General features: G+C 38.0%; 1 protein-coding gene across 10 annotated transcripts in view; it reads right to left on the bottom strand.

The window, feature by feature from the left end:
• Positions 1 to 21,001, bottom strand: part of TMEM117 (transmembrane protein 117) — a 603,307-nt gene that overhangs the window by 449,387 nt on the left and 132,919 nt on the right. For 8 of the 10 annotated variants that reach the window (XM_047429662.1, XM_047429665.1, NM_032256.3 and 5 more), the window contains one exon: positions 5,380 to 5,512. The exons of 1 other annotated variant lie outside the window; for it this stretch is intronic. In XM_047429662.1, coding sequence (XP_047285618.1) covers positions 5,380 to 5,512 — 133 coding nt within the window. Of the gene's footprint in view, positions 1 to 5,379; positions 5,513 to 21,001 lie in introns of those variants that run through there. One more of the 10 variants, XM_047429664.1, reaches the window with a different exon arrangement.

Raw genomic sequence — 21,001 nt, 5'->3', positions numbered from 1 at the left:
CCTCCTCAGGAATGTCAGGCTACCATCAGGAGATAGGCAGTCATTAAACAGTCTCTCCAAAATAATAATTGGTCGCAGCCAGTGCCAGGGAAAGGCAGTCTCCCAACAGATAGCAAACTCTTGGTGATCAGCAGCTTCCCGACAAGATCTCAGAAGTTGGGCTAGTGGGCTCAAGCATGTGCAGTAACTGACAAAATGGCGGAGTTTAACTAGTATATGACCTTCCTCTGGGAACACTTGACTGCTAAGGGAAAAATGCCTTGAATGAGTATGCACACAACTTCAGTAAACACACTGCACATGCAGCACCTCCCAAGTGCTGGCAGGCTACTGAGCATGCAAACAGTCCACTCCAAGGGAAGAATCAGCGGAGAAGAAATGCAAACCTCAGAACCATTCCAATGTATAAAAACCCAAGTCAAAGGTTAGATGGGGCACTTGGATCTCTCAAGTTGTCCGCTTGGCCCTCTTCCAAGTGTACTGTACTTCCTTTCATTCTTGCTCTAGAATTTTTAATAAACTCTCACTCTTGCTCTGAAACTTGTCTCAGTCTCTCACTCTGCCTTATGTCCCTTAGCTGAATTCTTTCCTCTAACAAGGCAAAAATCCAGTTTGCTGCAGATCCGATGGATTCAGTGCTGCTAACAGTTACATGTTTTCCATTTCACCTCCCCCTCCCACTGTAGCCCATTGCGGGATCATCTGTGTGGAAATTTCTATTTTCAATTTTTCAATTAATATGAGCCAAATCCTTGTTTCTGGTCCCTACATAAGGGTTAAAATTCAAGTGCCTAAGTCACCTCCACTGAGCATCTCAGTATCAATCAGTTGTTAGTCTTACCGCCCGAGTTTTCAGATCCTTCTGCATTTTTGTCCTCTGGGATTTTTCCTGACCTTTGGGTAAACTCAGCTATGCATTTTAAAGGAGTATACCAAGCTGCATTATCTCCTCCAGCTGTTCTAAAGATTTTGTAGTAGGCAAGGCTTCAGGTTACCTAGTCTGCCACCTTGTAAAAAAAAAGAAGTTACTCATAAAATGGCTACATGCAAAACTATGCCCAGAATCAGCACCTTCTCCTCAGCAGAACCCTCAACATTTATAAAATGATGAGTTTAGTTACATCTTGGTGACTTAAAGAATAAAGGAGGTTCTCTTTGGAAGGCTGAGGCAGGCGGATCACGAGGTCAGGAGATCGAGACCATCCTGGCTAATACGGTGAAACCCCGTCTCTATTAAAAATACAAAAAATTAGCCGGGTGTGGTGGCAGGCACCTGTAGTCCCAGCTACTTAGGAGGCTGAGGCAGGAGAATGGCATGAACCCAGGAGGCAGAGCTTGCAGTGAGCCGAGATCATGCCACTGCACTCCAGCCTGGGCGACAGAGTGAGACTCAGTCTCAAAAAAAAAAAGAATAAAGGAGGTTACAATAAGCAGCATTTTAGTGGTATAAGGAACAGAGGTGCAGAAAGAGAGTCAAATTTGAGACAAGGTTTTTCCTCGTGGTGCTACAAATATGGATTGTCTGAGCCTTGATCCTTTTTAGCTCAACCAACTAACTTACCTCTTTCCCTCTCCATCTGACTGCCTTTCAGCTTGGCTCCCCAGAGATGTCTAAAGCCATAAGAGTTAGTGCATACTTCAGGGAATCCACTGTAATGAGAAGAACAGGAGCCAGGCAACTCTGGGCTAAAAACTCTTGAGGTTCCGGTCTAGATAAACCTAGGGATTCTTTTCTCTATAGTAAGAGATCATGAGACCCCAGTTTAGATTAAATTTATACCATTCCTAAAATTGGCATACATGCACACAAAATGCAGACCAGTCTAAGAAAACTCCTTCTTCCCCTTGGAAACCCTACAGCCACTCACCATTCATTCTAGTCCTGAACTCCTCCAGTTTGGAAAGGAATCCTAAAATACATTAACACAGATCTAGCCATCATAGGATATTCTTGAAACTGTTTTGGAAATAATTCTAGGCCCGTATTCCTAGAGAGACCTATAAACAAAGACACATTGGACTCCCCACAAATTCAGTGTAATGCAAATGAGATTCAGTGTAAAGAATCCTGAATTCCTCTCTACTACCAAGAATCTTCTGACATAAAACCAGTTACTTGTGATGTCTGTGTGCTCACTGTCCTTTCTGCACTCTCTGGCTCCATCATTCCCTGTGCTACATGGGATGAAGCAATACCTCAGAAAACATGGTGTCTTCTAGGACAACCCCAATAGCACAGTTGTATCCACTTGCTCTAAGAACTGATTTTCCTCCAAGTTTACACTCCTATTTCAATGTGCTCACTTGATCAAATGATGTGTCATAAAAGTTAATTATACATCTTTTATAAATGGTGATTTAATTTTTATTTTTTATTTTTCTTTTTAGAGGCAGAGTCTTGTTGTTTCACCCAGGCTGGAGTGCAGTAACACAATCATAACTCACTGTAACCTTGAACTCCCAAGCTCAAGCAATCCTCCTGCCTCAGCTTTCCAAGTAGCTAGGACTACAAGGCGTGCCATCACCCCCAGCTAAGTTTTTTTATTTTTTGTAAGAGACAAAGTCTCACTCTGTTGCCCAGACTGGTCTCAAACTTCTGGCCTTAAGTGATCCTGCTGCCTCAGCCTCCCAAAGCACTGGGATTATAGGCATAAGTCACCATGCTCAGCCTTGATTTATTTTTTCTGCAGAACTAAACCATTTGTCCCTTGCTTTGAATTTTTCTAAAATGTGGCACCTTTAATATATCCTCTCAGTAAACGATGCTTTTCCTATGAAGATGAGGCATAATGGTGAAGAGTTCAACAGTTACCTAAAAATCTGCAAGATTGTATTTAGTCTGAGAATAAAAAAGACCACTTTCAATTTTAGTTAGGCTACACATAAATTCTAGGCTAACTATTCTCTTATTTCCTAAGCATATCTCCTGCTTCTTTCATTGTCAAATTCAGCTTGAATAATAAAACACAGAGAAAGGCTAATAGGATATGGTGAATGAGTAACAGGGTCAACCATCAATCGGACCTGTGTTCTCCTTTAAACAACAAAGTGGCAAAATGTCTCTAGTCCTCAGTTTCTTGATCTGCAAAATGGAGGTAATAACTCCTATTCCATGGAGTCACTGCGAGATTTAATTGAGATAATTCATGCCTGGTGTAAATGTTCAACAACTATTAACTCTCATTTTATTTCCAGCTATTGAGTGCTTTACAGAGTACAAGGAATTACTTATTGCATTTAATTTATTGCTTTCAAATCTGCTCCCTTCCTCAGAATAAGCATTTCCAGTTAGCACAGACCTCATTAGCTCTAGATAAAAAAACAAACAAAAAAAAAAAAAAAACAGAATTATATCAAAAGTCAGCTTCTGAGCAGAAGATATATTTTATATATTATATCATGTATTATTTCCAGCAATTGCTTTTAAAATGTAGTTTTCACAGAGGTTCCTTCTCCTTCTGCTCTCAGTGCTTTGAGTTCAAAAACAACTCACAGAGAAACCTTTGGCTGTGTTAGCTAACTCCAATCATTACCCATTCTAGTATTACAGGCACTGCTCCAAGGCTGAGACATATTCTGACTAGCCATAGGTTACAGCCTTCAAAACAGACCTGGTATTAAAACTATCATTCTAAGTCCAAGAAATAATTACAAAGTATTTTAATAACTTTCTAAAGCCTGAACATTTTATCTAAAATCACATTCGTGAATTTATCACTTGTTAGTATAAACTAAAATATAAAACATGTGAAATGTATTTTTCCCTTTGCTATTCATCTCCTTTAGTGGTGAGGGAAAAACAATGAAATTCTAAATGAGCTTCCCTCTCAGTACTGAACAATGGTAGCCAAAATCTATACGTAACATCAAAACAGTTCCATGTTTCCCATGGAACTGGACAATAATCCTGCCTAGCCTACATTTAGAAGAAAAGGATATTACCTAACTTTCTGATCTATTGGGGAAAATAGATCAAAATCTTTCTCAGTAACTATTTCAACACACAACAAATACCTAAAGTGGTTTATTATTGTCACAAATCTAATTTTAATACTAAGCCAATCTCCTTACATTCCGGCCTTAAAACTTACTGAGAGCAGGCCAGATGCAGTGGCTCAAGCCTGTAATCCCAGCACTTTGGGAGGCCAAAGCGGGTGGATCACCTGAGGTCAGGAATTCGAGACCAGACGAACCAACATGGTGAAATCCCACCTCTACTAAAAAATAACAAAAATTAGCCAGGTGTGGTGGCAGGCGCCTATAATCTCAGCTACTAGGGAGGCTGAGGAAGGAGAATTGCTGGAACCCGGGAGGCAGAGGTTGCAGTGAGTGAGCCGAGATCGCGTCACTGCACTCCAGCCCTGGCTGACAACAGCGAGATTCCTTCTCAAATAAACTTACTGAGAACAAACCAAGAGGAAATTATACTGAAAGACCAATCCTTGTGTTTCATTATATAATGAAAGAAAGAAGTGAAGAAAGTTAGAAAAATTATACAACTACTTGTTGGCACATATTTCATGTCTTAGTGATTTGATAAGTATATATCACAAGCTAGGAGTTAATACAGGGTGGCCCACTTTATTTATTTATTTATTTATTTATTTATTTAGAGACGGAGTCTTGCTTTGTTGCCAGGCTAGAGTGCAGTGGCACGATCTTGGCTCACTGCAACCTCCGCTTCCTGGGTTCAAGCAATTCTCCTGCCTCAGCCTCCCAAGTAGCTGGGACCACAGGCCTACACCACCACGCCTACCTAATTTTTATATTTTTAGTAAAGATGGAGTTTCACCATGTTGGCTAGGATGGTCTCCATCTCCTGACCTTGTGATCCGCTGCCTCAGCCTCCCAAAGTGCTGGGATTACAAGCATGAGCCACCATGCCCAGCTGTGGCCCACTTTTAAAACAACCTATTTATAACAAAGGTCTCTCTCTCTCAGGACTGTCAAGAGAGTTAAAGAAAATGCCTCCTGTACCACTTTTATTTAGCCAGGCATTGCAGACCAATGAAATTGCAAACCTGGAAACCTTCATCTTAGCCCCACTCTATGAATCATTTGAATATATGCAAATCAATAAGATTTCCTGATTCTCATACCCCCTTGTCAGTATAATGAAATTAGTACCTGCCCTCCCACCACCCTATATAAAAGTCCTAAAGGATAAAGAACAAAATCTAAATATTGTAATGTACTATATGCTTCCTGGAAAAAAAAAATGTTAATGTCTTAGGTAAGAAAAATACATAAAATACTCCTTCTTCTTAGGGTAGAATATTTGTAAAGCAGACTTAGACTACTACAAGCTAAAAAACTCTTAAATTCTTACAAGTTTCAAACATAACACTCACCACAGTAGAAAGGGGAAAGAAAACCTACCCCATGTTCCCATCCATTAGAAGAATCGTGTTGTATATGTGAGAAAATATGAAGAGAAAGAGAATTGTGCTGAAGAACATTGTCATCCACGACCCATGATCTTCTCGAAACATTTTTAATCGGAGCAACTGACCTGAAATACAAATATTATTAAAAATTAATGTACACTGTAACTCAAAATTCATGGATCTTTGCTTTATTTTAATGAATCTTTTAATGTCTCACTATATTCTGAAGTCTTTGCCATAAGACTGCCTTATGAGTGAAGCCACAATATAATGTTCTTTTTGCTGTTTTGTAAATAAGTGATCATAAATAAAGTCGAAGACGATCCTCATATCACATTTCATCCTAGAGTAAATACTACTAATCCAAGAATCTAGTGTTCAGAGATAGTTCATCATGCTAGCATGAAAACAAGATGAATTACAGCCCTACTTACCTGCTATTTTTTATTTTACAAATATGTTTTTGGTTCATAGCGAACAGTAAAGAAGTTGCATGAATCCTATATCGTTTCCCTTTGCTTCTATAGATCCATTCCCAATACTGGCCAGATGATAAAACCAAGGCCAACCTTACTTACAAGGTCTAATTGTTTAAGGTACATGAAAACTTGAAAGAAAAAATTAAGTCTCTGTTATAAAACATGCAGCTTAGCCTCACTCTTAACAAACATGCCCCTGTACAAGTACAAACACAAGTGCATATGAGAGGTGACAATGTATGTGTTAATGAAGCTTGGTGTGGCTCCTGGCAAAACATAATTTTCACCCTGATGATAAAATTCCATTTATGAAGACAAATGCTAAAGTTAGAGAGAATGTTAAGATGCAAACACTTTAAGGAAGAAACATATATTAAGATGAACACTAAAGTAAAAATTACTAATATCAGAATTCGATCAGAGAAATGTTTTGATTTATGGTAAAGAGAAATGATGGCACCAGTACCCTGAAAGATGAGGAAGGTAAAAAACCTTGGGAGTAAGAAAGAAGTGAGCATAGGTCACCCTGGCTTCTCCCAAGATAAACCGTGTCTATTATACTTACCTCCTTTCCTAAGAATAATAATGGAGATGATGTGCATATAGGAACTACAATTAAAATAGAGTAGAGTAGACCTGAATCTTACAATAAATTTTTTTTTTTTTTTTTTTTTTTTTTGAGACAGAGTCTTGCTCTGTTGCTGGGCTGGAGTGCAGTGGCGTGATCTCAGCTCACCACAACTTCCGCCTCTCGGGTTCAAGTGATTCCCCTGCCTCAGCCTCCCAGGTAACTGGGATTACAGGCATGCGCCACCATGCCTGGCTAATTTTTTGTATTTTTAGTAGAGGCGGGGTTTCACCGTGTTGGCCAAGATGGTCTCGATCTCCTGACCTCGTGATCTGCCCTCCTCGGCCTCCCAAAGTGCTGGGATTACAGGCCTGAGCCACCACGCCCATCCTAAAATTTCTTACGTTAGAAAATATTCCCTTTTTTAATGATATGTCAGTTATGAAATATATGTATGTATTTCTATCTGGAAATTATCTCTCTAGCGACAAACAGTATCTCTCATATATCTCACTGAGCATAGGAAGAAATAATCTTTTAAGATTTAACTATTGAACTTTTCCTTATATCTCACCTTTATGAAAACAGTACTTTAGATTTCATTTGGAAACTAGGCTAACAGAAACATTATCCTAGCTAAAACTTGAGATGAAGAGTAAAAAAAAAAGAGCGGGGAGGAGATTTGGTTACATCATGCCATGGATTCTTGGCCTATCCAAGAGAAGCAAAGGTTAAAACTGAAAGTCAGGGAGAATGTGACTGTATAACTAAAAGAAGAAAGTGGAAAACGTTCTACTAAAACAAATGATACTAGCCCCCACAAATTATAAGATCATAGAAACTGCTGATTAATTTAATCAATAATTATGAAAAACCAGGGATTTTCAAGCCTCCACACAACATACTGACAAGAATATTAAAAAAATATATTAACCACAGAATGCTTGAGAGTAAAACCACATGCTACAAATATTTTACACTATAAAGAATATTTATTCATTCATTGAACAAATATTTAATGTGTGCCTATTACATGCCAGACACAGTTCTAGGTGCTGGAGATTCAACTGTAAGCAATGCAGGACAGTGCTTGAAGTCAATTATCATCTGAGTATTTAATGGAATTGTGACCTTACTTTGGACTCATGGGCTCTCTTTGTTCAGGGGCCCCTTTGCTGCAAGTCCTTTCAGCTTTAGACCAAGACCTATTTATTTAATTCAGCAGTTGATAATGAAGCACTTCAAAGACCGGCAATTAGAGTTCCTTTAAGATTTAAATGTAAATTTCTTTCTTAACATAAGCATATGTCAAACACATTCACTAGCAAATGTATGTTAAGAGTCAAATAATAATGCTGGTGATTTAACAGTGCTTTGCAAATAAAACATTGTGGACTAACTGTACACAGGTGGAAATAATACAAAGTTAGCAAAAAGAGAGATGTGGCAGTACCATTTATGCTGTCACTGCCAAGCTCATCGTCTGCCACTAATTTCAGCCATTAGTGTCATTAGAACAAAATGGCAGGTTAACATGACTTGAAATTCATTTGAAGAGAACAATAAAAGTGCTGCAAAATATTAAGTCCAGAACTAGTATGACCCAAGTGTTCAGTCAAATTGTACTATAAAAATTTCCCATAAGCTACTTAAAGGTTAACTCTGTAAGTAACCCTCGAATGTTAGAAACATATACACATAGACTGCCCTCAGCTTACTGTTCTCATGAAGGACTTCTCCCATGCAATGTAATCAGACCAAGAACCTTGGAACTGCCTGAGGATGTCAGATGGAAATACACTGTCTCTGCCCTTTAGGGTGACTATATATGTGGTTTCCCTGGGACAGTAGTGGTTTATAATTGTTGTCCTGGCATAATTATTAATAGTAACCCCTTCCTTTCTTAGGTATGCTGGTTTGGAAAATAAATTATGTGCCACTTTTCCTACAGGTCTATAGGTCCCAGAATTCAGAATTTTATGACTTTCTTTTAGAGGAGTTTCAGGAGACAACCAAGTGACAACAATCCTTACAGGCCAACAGAAGTGAAAACATCACTAAGAGGGATACATTTCTGACATGGCCAAAAACATGACTATTTTAATCACAGATATATGAATATTTGTAAATCTGAGTGTGTATTTATGTTATTAATAAGATCCATCTTGGAGTATATAGACTGTTACCTTCAATACAGTCAAAGAAATTAGAAAATACAGCTTAGAACAATCAAAAGCATTAAAGTGGGACACAAACCTGTATATGTGAAGGAGAGGGTGGGAGGGCACAGGGATTGATGATTATGAATGTTGGCTAAAGTCAGGTGAAATGGCCTAGAACTTCAGAATTTTTTCTGGAAATACAGTAGGTTTAGGATCACTAAGATGTCATAAAATTCTAACAAGATTAATGATATAAAAGCATATTTAAAAGTATATATTATGGGCCAGGTGCAGTGGCTCATGCCTGTAATCCCAGCACTTTGGGAGGCCGAGGCAGGCGGATCACCTGAGGTCAGGAGTTCGAGACCAGCCTGGCTAACATGGTGAAACCCGGTTTCTACTAAAAATACAAAAATATTAGCCAGGCGTGGTGGTGCACGCCTGTAATCCTAGCTACTTGGGAGGCTGAGGCAGGAGAATCACTTGAACCCGGGAGTTGGAGGTTGCAGTGAGCCAAGATCACACCATTGCACTCCAGCTTGCACAACAAGAGCAAAACTCCATCTCAAAAAAAAAAAGTGTATATAAAATGAGCAAACATATGTTGTGGAAAATAGAGGTAGACAACTGTGACAGGGAGAATTATGGAGAAACTACTTGGTTTCTTGGCCTTTTTGCTGCTGTGTTCTCTTCACCAAAAGAATGGAAAGAAGAATTTCCTTTCTACCTCACTGCTAGACTTTTTAAATTGAGAGTTCTAGGTCCCTTTTCTTTAGGAGTGATTTTCACATGGAGCCTGTGCAAAGAAATACACTAAAGAGTCTCAGAGGAGAAGGAGAAGTGTTTGTGTTTCTAGGTAGGAGATGTGGGGAGCCCTACCTCTGGAAGGTTGTTAAAGCAGGGATCAGATAGACCGAGGGCTTCTGGGTTCATAAAGAATACAAGCATTTAGGTCTCCAAGGTGGCAGAGCCTCATTTGGGGATGACTACATGAATGTTGGTCAAGGCCAAGGTATCAAGGGTCATGTTGATACCCAAATCTCACCTTGAATTGTAATAATTCCCAAGTGTTGTAGGAGGGTCCTGGTGAGAGGTAACTGAATCATGGAGGCGAATCTTTCCTGTGCTGTTCTTGTGGTAGTGAATAAGTCTCATGAGAGCTGACGGTTTTATTAATGGGAGTTCCTCTACACAAGCTCTCTCTTGCCTGCTGCCATGCAAGATGTGATTTTGCTCCTCCTTTGCCTTCTGCCATGATTGTGAGGCCTTCCCAGCCATGTGGAATTAAGAGTCGATTAAATCTCTTTCCTTTATAAATTACCCAGTCTTAGGTATATCTTTATTAGCAGAATGAGAACAGACTAATACACATGGCTTTGGAAGTCTGAGTTATCAAACTAAGCTAGTCCCAGGGGAATGGTGCCAGTTAGGGCAGCCACCCACCTCTATTAGGTGCACAATGACCTGAGTAGATCCCAGGCACCTTAGTCTGAGTCATTGTGCCAAAGTGGTAGAAGACCATTACTGAAGTGGCAGTAGGAGAAGGGATGCAGAAGTAAAAACAAGCTAAAGGAGTCTTTTCAGTAACTGTAGCCCTGGAACTCCTATAAAACCTTAGTGATAGAAAAGGTGATGTGAAATATTATTAATATTGTACTCTCTGCTTACCTTGGTAAGCAAAAACTCAGAGTAAGATTTAATTTAGAGGAAAAAGTATGGCATTACACATAAGACCCTGACTAGGAAATATAAAAGGACAAATGAAGGGATTCATTCCTCAAGAGGACTCCAAACTGAAATTAACACTACTGTCCATTAAGTCTTCTGCTCTAAAACCTATATATGATTTGGCCAACCTATATATGATTTGGCCCACCCATATATACAAGAAACAAATAGAATCTGCAGCTACTTAAAGGAGTATATTTGGTTTGTTGGAGTCAAAAGATATAATAGTCAAAAAATCAGCATAGCAGGCATTCCACATACCAGTAATATTCCTGTTGCAAATAACAAAAGCGAAAACAAAAACTAAATTTAAACTAGATTAAATTATAAGGATTCTTTATTGGCTTCCTTCTCACATTTTCTTTTCTTTTTTTATTTTTTATTTTTTTTTTTATTTTGAGACGGAGTCTCACTCTGTCACCCTGACTGGAGTGCAATGGAGCAATCTCGGCTCACTGCAACCTCCACCGCCTGGGCTCAAGTGATTCTCCCGCCTCAGCCTCCCGAGTAGCTGGGATTACAGGCACACGCCACCGTGCCTGGCTAATTTTTGTATTTTTTAGTAGAAATGGGGTTTCACCATGCTGGCCAGGCTGGTCTGGAACTCCTGACCTCAGCTATCCATCCACCTTGGCCTTCCAAAGTGCTGGGATTACAGGCATGAGCCACCATGCCCGGCCCTTCTCACATTTTCCATCTTTTTTTCTCATGTCTGTTCTCTAAACAAAATTTTTGTAGAACTAGTTTAACTAAAGGCATAGAATGACTTCAAGCAAAGCCTGATCCAGCACTCAGATAATATTATCAAGACTTGATTAATCTCTATTTCCCAGCTCCATTTCCTCAGTGTGGCGTCTTATCCTAGCAGGCTCCCACTACTTTCTCCCCCAAGACACATGCACACACCCTTTGTTGTCCCAAGATGACCATAACAACCTGAGGGCTGCTTCTTCATTGTTGTCCATGGATGAAAAGATAACGCTTTTGCCCTAGCACTTCTAGAGAAAATTATGAGATTCATTCTATTCGGGCTCATTTGGGTCCTGAAGCAATTACCCTAGCCAGAGTTATGAAGAGCAATTTAACTAAGCCTTAGGATTAGCTAATATATATATTAAATATAATAAATATATAATATAATATATAATATATAATAATATATAATATAGCCTTGTTGCCCCCAGCCAGACCACTAGGTGGCCCATTACCTCAAACCATCACAACTAGATATGCTGTCCTGCATACCCCAGCCCTCACATGCTCTACCCAGCCCAGCCTGCACACCCTCCCCCTGATGTCAGTTCCTGCACATTGCCTAATAAAAAATCCCTACGGGCTCTTTTCAGGGAGCCAGACAGAGAATTCTTTTACCTCCACTGTCTCCCTTGAGCTTGAGCACAAGCCGCAAAATAAAGCCTTGTCTGGCTAATCTACTTGGCCTTATGTAAATTTCTATTACACGGGAGCCTAAAAGCCTGTGGTCTATAACACTGAGACCCAAAGATATGTATACTTTTTGTCTACTATATGTGTGCTACACCTGTCTATAAACTGTAGCACAGTAGAGACCAGATTGATCTTCTTTACCACTATGTCCTCATGGCATAGTACCTGGCACACAGTATGTCTTAAGTTATTTGTCCAGTGGATTTTAAAAAAAAAGGCTATACAAATAAATGAACAAATAATATTCCACTGTATGGAATCCTATCTTTCTACATCTAGGTCCTATTATAGTTGCCCTCTGAGCCGTTCAGTTCTTTAAGCTGCTCTCCTCCCCAACTTTCTCCCCATCTATAAGCCACCTCCTAAATTCTGTTCCCTCCTATTTGGCGAGAAGCTCCTGCTTCCTTATCAGCCTTTTCATCAACACCACATACATTTCTGTATACCCTATATTTGTCTTACACATCCCCAGCAAACACCCAACTCTGATGTACAGCTACAGTTCGTTTTCTCCAATTTTGACTACTGTGGAAAAAAGTTGCACAACACAGTTGAGAAGCCACTACACAATCATGATCCAGAGTTTAGTTGCTATCACAGCACTGCACATTAATGCATCAATGCCTTTCCCTATCCTTGTCAATTCTCTTTCCTGTTCTCCTTAATATCTATTTCAAATTTCATCTCAAAGCTCCCACTAAGCCCTTTTCACTCTTAGAATATGACTTTGGTCTCAACCTCAAGAAGACATCCTTGTCATCAAACATTATTTTCCCTCAACTTCCTACCTGCTCACATTCATCTACTTATCTACCTTCATGACTATCCTAACTTCCTTCCCTTATTCCTCAAAGGATGGAGCACTCCTCCCAAAGAAGACCCTACCTGTGCCTTTTTAAAACCACACCCCCTCCTCTCTTGGGGGACTTGGTCCAGCCATCCTTTCACTCCTTTGTATATCTGATCTCTCCCTCTCTCCTCATTCTTTTTTCTCCACCTCTGAGGCCTCTTAAGTTGATCCTAAAAACAATGTCCTTGAACTTCCACCCATTCTCCTTGTTTTCTCATCTAGACTTCAAGAAAGAGTAATCTTTATCACACCCACTTACCGAGATCTTACTTGCCATGCAAACATTCCACTGAAGTTGTTCTGGCAAATGCATTGACCTCCACCACTCCCAAATCCGGAATAAATATATTGGTCTTTAACTGGCAAGACATCCTGGCTGCATCTGACCTAACAGTTGTTCTCCGTCTCTTTTGATACTACTTCCTTGGGTTCCCTAACACCAAATATGCCATTCTTTTTCTATTTTCCTGATTTTTCTCAGTCACCATTTTGGGCATCCCTTCTTCCAATTACCCCATAAATAATGATGTGCCATGGTCTGTCCTCAGTCCTTGTCTTCATCATATCACTATATGATCTCATCCTCTCCCATGGTTTCAACATCCCATATCTCCAGTAGAAATTTTTCCTCCTGAGCTTCACACTGGAAGTCAGCTGCCCACTATAGTCTTAGATATCCTACCAGGAAATCAAACTCAGTAGACAAAAACAAAGCCAAAATCCCTACCCTCTGCCCCAACATACAATATGCCACTATTTGCAACTTGACCTATCCCATCCCTAAATCTACTCCTACACACCTTCCATTTCAATCAATTGTCCTATCATTTTATGTCCTTACATCCAAACTCTTCTCTCATAATTTAGGTTCTCACTGTCTTTTGATAAGACCTATTGCGATGCCCTCTTAACTGGCCTGTCTTACTTCAACCTTTTCCATCTCAAATCCATCCACCACAGAGCCAATAGATCTGACTAAAATCCTATGTGGTCAAATCAAGTCACCCCTTCACTTAAAAAAACTTTCAATAATCACAATTCTCCCGTAATATAAAATCCAAGCTCCCTAACATGGTATACAAGGCATGAATTAATTTGACCCATACTTCCCTCTCCTCCCTCACCACTCCCATCCTTTCACTCTGTTTCCATGAACACTAAGCAGTTGCATTTTCTATGCTCATGCTGAACCCTCTGCCTGGGATAACCTTCCTTCCTTCTCCATAACTCAACTAACTGCTCTACTTCCTATAAAGCCTAGAATGCAGGTCAGAAATGATCTCCTCTGGGAAGTTGTCTTCTTTGTTAATATTTTATATCTGGGATTATAGAAAGAGCTTATGGGATGGACTCTCTCAGGAGGTAGTAAGTTCCTTTCAGTGCAGACAAGGAGAAATGGCCATTGCCAAGCATAGTTTAAAGGGCTGGATTACATGACTTTTAAGATCCAGACCAATTCCGAGATTTATGATTTGCTTTGTCAGTGAGAGATTAGCTCAAAATCTGCTATATATATTATCCTTACCCACTAAAAGAAAAAATATTCCTCCTTATATTTTATCTCTCAATGTATGCTTCTCTAATATATAAAATGAACCCGAAGTAACAAACTGATAACATTCTTTAAAGGCCAACTTAATATTTAACATTTTAAATATTAGAATACTTGACAAGAAATGTAATCCCTATTTCTTATGGCTGGAAGAAGAGAATAAAAGATAAAATGAAATTTGATTACAGCAGTTGAAAATTAATTGAAATTCACTTCCGGTCAGACTAAAATAAGTATATTAAGAATTCATCACAAGCTTGTGTAAATTTATAGTTTATAAAAACATGATATGACTATTTTTGTTTAAATTCACTAACTAAAAACTGGTAACAGAAGCCTGGGCAACCTGGCAAAACTCTGTCTCTAATACAAAAAATTAGCCAGGCATGGTGGAGCACCTGTAGTCCCAGCTACTCCAGAGATTGAGGTGGGAGAATCGACTGAGCCCAAGGAGGTTGAGGCTGCAGTGAGCCATGATCATGCCACTGCATTCCAGCCCGGGTGACAGAGTGAGACCTTGCCTCAAACAAAAAAATAAAAAATAAAAAACGGTAACAGAATAAAAATAACTAAAATATGAGAATTATTCCATGAATGGGACATCAACAAAGTTATCTAACAAACTACACCAGAGTATCATTATGGCGGTTAGGATGGTCTAGTTAGACAAACACGGCTTTATATAATAAATGTAAGATGATAAAACTTTTGTACTCTAAGAGTACCATTACATTAATATTCAGATCAAATCTTATTTCAGGGTACAAAGAGAATTTAAAAACATTGAGCAGATGGTTATCATCTCTTATTAGGAATAGGAGCATACTCAAGAAATGTCGGCTATTCACTGAATTTGACAGAATATCAAACACTGAATATTGAGATACAATCTCATATAATACTAACAAAGATTACAATGTGAAATTCAAAAGAGGTTCTATAAAAAAAAGGAAAATAAAAGCATGGTTAGAAACAGCATGAATAATAGTGTGTTCAGATCTAAAGTTTAATGTCAATTTAACTAAAGTTAATGTCAATTTCAAAAGTGTGCATATTAAAATAAATGTTTAGTAAAATTACTAAATAAACACATGTTGACATAAATTAGTCTCAGTAACACAGTAATAAACCTTCCATTTGAGAGAGTCTGAATATTATATTTTACTATTACTATTTGGCTCTTTCCATTAAACTATCCTCAAGTTTAACTAAATCAAATTGCTTATTGCTCAACATGAAAAAACATGACTCCAAGAGGAAATAAAGGTATTCATTTATTAGAATCTATTAGTTTTCCTTTTAAGGAAAAGTTAGCCATCAAATAAAAAGAATGCTATATTAATACTACATATTACCTTGTAGCCCAAGGTAAAATTTATCAGCACACTTAATTTATGCATACATATATTATGTTCTCTAATTTTGACGGAATCAATTTGGCCTATATTTTACTACTAAGTGAAATTATATCAAATAGCATTTTTAAGGTCAAAACCCACCAAACATCAGCAATTTGATATCACTTAACTTAATATGACATAACTAGCTATAATAGGTTTAAAATAATTATATTAGAAACATTATTTCAACATTTAATAATCAAAATTCTTTGAATCCATTTTTATAATTCAAGTAAAAGTAAACAAAATATTTCCTGAACCATTAGAGATTGTCACTATTGAAATTCTGGGCCGGGAGTGGTGGCTCACGCCTGCAATCCCAGCACTTTGTGAGGCTGAAGCCGGCGGATCACAAGGTCAAGAGTTTGAGACCATCCTGGCCAACACAGTGAAACCCCGTCTCTACTAAAAATACAAAAATTAGCTGGGTGTGGTGGCACGCGCCTGTACTCCCAGCTACTCGGGAGGCTGAGGCAGAAGAATAGCTTGAACCCGGAGGCAGAGGTTGCAGTGAGCCGAGATCACATCACTGAATCCCAGCCTGGCGACAGAGTGAGACTCCATCTCAATAAAAAAAGGAAATTCTGTATTTTGAAATGGGCAATGAGATAGAAAGTATAGTTCCCAATTGTTAAAAATTAGTATTACTGGGCTGGCACAGTGGCTCACGCCTGTAATCCCAGCACTTTGGAAGGCCGAGGCGGGCAGATCACGAGGTCAGGAGATCGAGACCATCCTGGCAAACACGGTGAAACCCTGTCTCTACTAAAAATACAAAAAAATTAGCCGGGCGAGGTGGCTGGCGCCTGTAGTCCCAGCTACTCGGGAGGCTGAGGCAGGAGAATGGCGTGAACCCTGGGGGGCGGAGCCTGCAGTGAGCCGAGATCGTGCCACTGCACTCCAACCTGGGCGACAGTAAGACTCCGTCTCGAAAAAAAAAAAAAAAGTTAATATTACTACCATTATTAAATTCTTACATCTTCATCATTATACTGATACCAATATTAAAAAACAAGAATACTTAACGATTTTAAATAGGTTTTCCTTTAACTTCAGGCATTATATTAATGCAATTAAGAAGGAAAAGTTAAATTGTCAAGAATAGTCCCCTGAAGGCTGATTTCCATGGTCTTAAGCAATCTTGATCAATCACAAGGGGTGGATGCCAAGGCCAAGATTCTGCCATGTCATCCACATTTACAGTATTGCTATTATTTGTACCTATGCATTCAGATCTCTCTGACTCTCCCTTTTATCCTGAATTTGATTTTCATTCACGACTTTCCACAAGTCCTCTAAGTCTTTCAGACTGGTGTCTTGTACCTGCAAATGTGCTATTGTCTCTACCCATTCCATTTATAGATTTACTAAAATATATTAATAATTCATAAGATACAAGTTTAAATGACAGATTAGGAGTATCATAGACAGGTGTTAATTTTAAGTTGCTATGCTTTTTAATCCCTTAGTAATATCCAAGAATAATGTATTTCAACTCCTTTGATTAATAAATGAGAAAGCTGAGGTGTAAGTAGCTCAAATAACCCACCAATAGTCACACAACAGTTTGAAGGCAGAGTCCAGGACTCTTTTGATGTACTTTAAGGTGAGTTAGGACAAATCTATCAATCATTATTTCTTTTAAGCCAAGCGTAAAGATCTTTCAGACAATTCTCCAATAACTATCCAAGCCCAAGTTAAAGTAGAATCAAAAGAACAGGATGCAGGAATCACTTTGGTGATCACCATCAAAAAGGGTATTTGAAAGGTGTTCAAACAAAAAGTATCCAGTTCTGAAAAAAAAAAAAAAAAACTTATTTAATGAAATCAAAGCAAAGTAAATCTGACTACCAAAGAATTTTTATTAAAAATATAAGTTATTTTATATAAATTATTATATGAGGTAGTCATTTTCTCTATTTTATCTAGACTCCTAAGATTTAAAAAATCTAGAAATAAACAATATAATTTTAAACACCATAGGCTTTTGTATTAATGATAGTAACTCATATGGCAAATTCTTAATTCTAACTATGAGCCTGGCCAGTGCTGTGTACTGTAAATATGATGGTAAATACGGGAAACACAACAAACATAGATTTTCATGCACATCAAAAGGGCTAGAGGCAAGAAGAGTCAGCTAAAATTTAAAGAGTACCAGTAAGCAAACTTAAAATCTAGACTTACTTTCAGACCAAACGCCCATAAAAACACTGAGAAAATAAAAGTGTAAGCTCAAGGACACTGCAAGGTGGAGATGCCAAGCCTGGGTCTCCCAGAATAAATCAGGACCCTTCAAAGAATGTAAAGTTGTCCTTAAACTATTGTATCTCTTGGATTCCAAATTTGGCAAATGTGAATACTCTCTAGAGAAAAACAAGCTTTATTTAAATCCTCAGAATTCAGATAGATTATATTATTAAAATATGAGTTCAAAGTAAAAATTCACTAAACTCAAAAAGAAGTGCTACCATGAGTGAGAGTTGATAGAAATAGCAAATAAAACTTTAGACAATACAAGAACTTTAAATATTGAAATTACCAAATGTAAAATATTTGAAATCTGTTGTGTCTCAATTTACACACGGGCATTTCTCTACCCTCTGAAACATATGGAACATAGTTATAATTTTTGATATCATTGTTACTAACTATATCAACAGTATCATTCCCGGGCTCTTCTTTTGACTTATTTTTCTTCTGGATTATGGGTCATATTTTACTGCATCTTTGTGTGTCTAGTAATTTTTGATTGGATGCCAGACATTGTGAATTTTCACTTTATTGGGTGCAGGATATTTTTGTATGCCTATAAGTACTCTTGAGTTTTGTTCTTGGATGCATTTAAATTACTTGGAAATAGTTTGATGCTACTGAATATTTCTATTAAACTTTATTAGGCAGCAGAAGCCCTCAGGTTAATTTTGCCCCACTTCCACCATTCTGACTACTCTACCTGATGGCAAATAAATGACAAGGTTTTGTGTTTTTGCCTTGTAGGGACACAAACTATTCTTAGTCCTGTGTGAGCTCTAAGAATTTTTCCTGTGTTCCTTTTGAGTGATACTTTCCCCAGCTTGGGGTGGGTTCTCACATCCCTGTGGTGATCATTACTCAGTGAAGAGTCAAGAGGCATCTTCAGATTTCTAGGGTTATTCCTCTGTGCTCTCTTTTTCACTCTGGTACTCTGACATATGAAATAGCTGTTTTGGCCTCCCCACACACCCAGCTCTATCTCTTCCATTCAGGAAGACCCTGGCCTCTGCCTGATTTCCTCCTTCCTGCAATGAGGCCAAAAAACTCTCCAGGAAGTAAGCTGTAGTAACTGCAGGGCTTATTTATCTTAAAAGACAAAAAAGATCTTAAAATCAGACAATAATAAAGGCAGATTATTTGAAAGGAACAATAATTATACTGATTTCTTCCCAACAGCAACAACGGATGTCATAAGACAGTGCCTCAAACTGCTAAGAGGAAATAACTATCAATCTATAGCTGTGTACCTAGCAAGTGTATTTATCATAATGAAGGCCACTGTTTGAAGGCATCAAAAAGCAAGCAAGGCAGGCAAGACTTGAAAGGCCAAGATCACTAAGGAAAGAAAATGCACTTAGATGAGCCAAATTTATTGCATCTTTTTCCCCTTGGGAGATTTGCTGATTTTCAGTGTCATAGGGACCATATGGAAAACTGTGGCTTAGAGCTTGAGGCAGTGTCACTGGGCCAGAGATAAAAATTGAAATTCATGTCCACAAATGCAATCAGGACATGAGGGAACAAAATACCAGAAAAAATAAGGAAACTCAGGAAATGACCCGAAATTCTAACACAATTTCCCATAGATCATTTGCTGACACCTACTAAACTATGTAGGTGAGGTAAGATCAAGCATAGAACTGCTGATAAGCAAAAAAAACTAAGCATAAATTTTAGTCTCATGATGCTGAGTAAACAAAAATTAGAATTCAGGGAACATCAAAGTAGAAGAATTATGGGCAGAGTTCAGGCTTTAGGATGTGATATATGAAAGGCAATATCATAGGAGTAAGGACAAATCAGAAACAGATCAAACCAAAGAAAGCCTGAACCCAGTATCTACAGACCAGAAGAAAATAAAATTTTCTCTAGGGAAGATTGTATCATCATGAACCTCTACAATTCTTTAGATATTATCTCTAATATTCAATTTTTTAAATTAGGCACATAAAGAAACAAGACATAAAAAAATTACTGAAAAGCAGGGGAAAAAATTGATAACATAAGCAGACTCAGTGATGGTGCAAAGATTGGCATTATAACGTAGAAGTCAGAAAACTGCAATTAGCATGTTCAAAGAAATATATAAAAAGATTATGAATTTTACCAAAGAAATAACCAATGGATAGATTTAATAGCTGTTAAATATGCACATAATATATTATTCCATTTATATAAATTTCTAGAAAATGCAAATAAACAGTGATTGTGTGAATGTATGGAAGGATAAGAGAAGCAGGTTACAAAAGCTCACACAGACATGGTTATCCTGACTGTCATGGTGGTTTTACAGTTATATACATATGTCAAAAACTTACAAAACTGTATACTTAAGTATATGAAGTTTGTTATATGTCAATTATACCTCAATAATGCTGTTAAAGATGTGGAATTTCAGTTTATGACAAAAATAAGCTACAAGGCAGAAGGGGTCAATAAAGTTAAGTGCTATAAGGTTCTTGGAAATTGTTGGCAATATTAATTAAAGGTAGGCTTTAATGTCAATTATGTGTGTTTTACTCTTTAGGGTAATCACTAAATGAATAAAAGTATGTGTAATTAATAAGGTAGTATAGTAGTAATAATAAAATATTAAAAATATTTTATTTATCCAAAGCAAAGCAAAAAGGAGTAAAGAACTAAAGACAGAAGGTAAATAAAAAACTAGCATGGTTTACACTGTTGGTGGGACTGTAAACTAGTTCAACCATTGTGGAAATCAGTGTGGCCATTCCTCAGGGATCTAGAACTAGAAATACCATTTGACCCAGCCATCCCATTACTGGGTATATACCCAAAGGACTATAAATCATGCTGCTATAAAGACACATGCACACATATGTTTATTGTGGCACTATTCACAATAGCAAAGACTTGGAACCAACCCAAATGTCCAACAATGATAGACTGGATTAAGAAAATGTGGCACATATACACCATGGAATACTATGCAGCCATAAAAAATGATGAGTTCATGTCCTTTATAGGGACATGGATGAAATTGGAAATCATTATTCTCAGTAAACTATCGCAAGAACAAAAAACCAAACACCGCATATTCTCACTCATAGGTGGGAATTGAACAATGAGAACACATGGACACAGGAAGGGGAACATCACATTCTGGGGACTGTTGTGGGGTGGGGGGAGGGGGGAGGGATAGCATTGGGAGA

The sequence above is a fragment of the Homo sapiens genome, chromosome 12 (assembly GCF_000001405.40).
Source record: "Homo sapiens chromosome 12, GRCh38.p14 Primary Assembly".
Lineage (NCBI taxonomy): Eukaryota > Metazoa > Chordata > Mammalia > Primates > Hominidae > Homo > Homo sapiens.
This window is presented reverse-complemented; position numbering and strand designations above follow the sequence as displayed.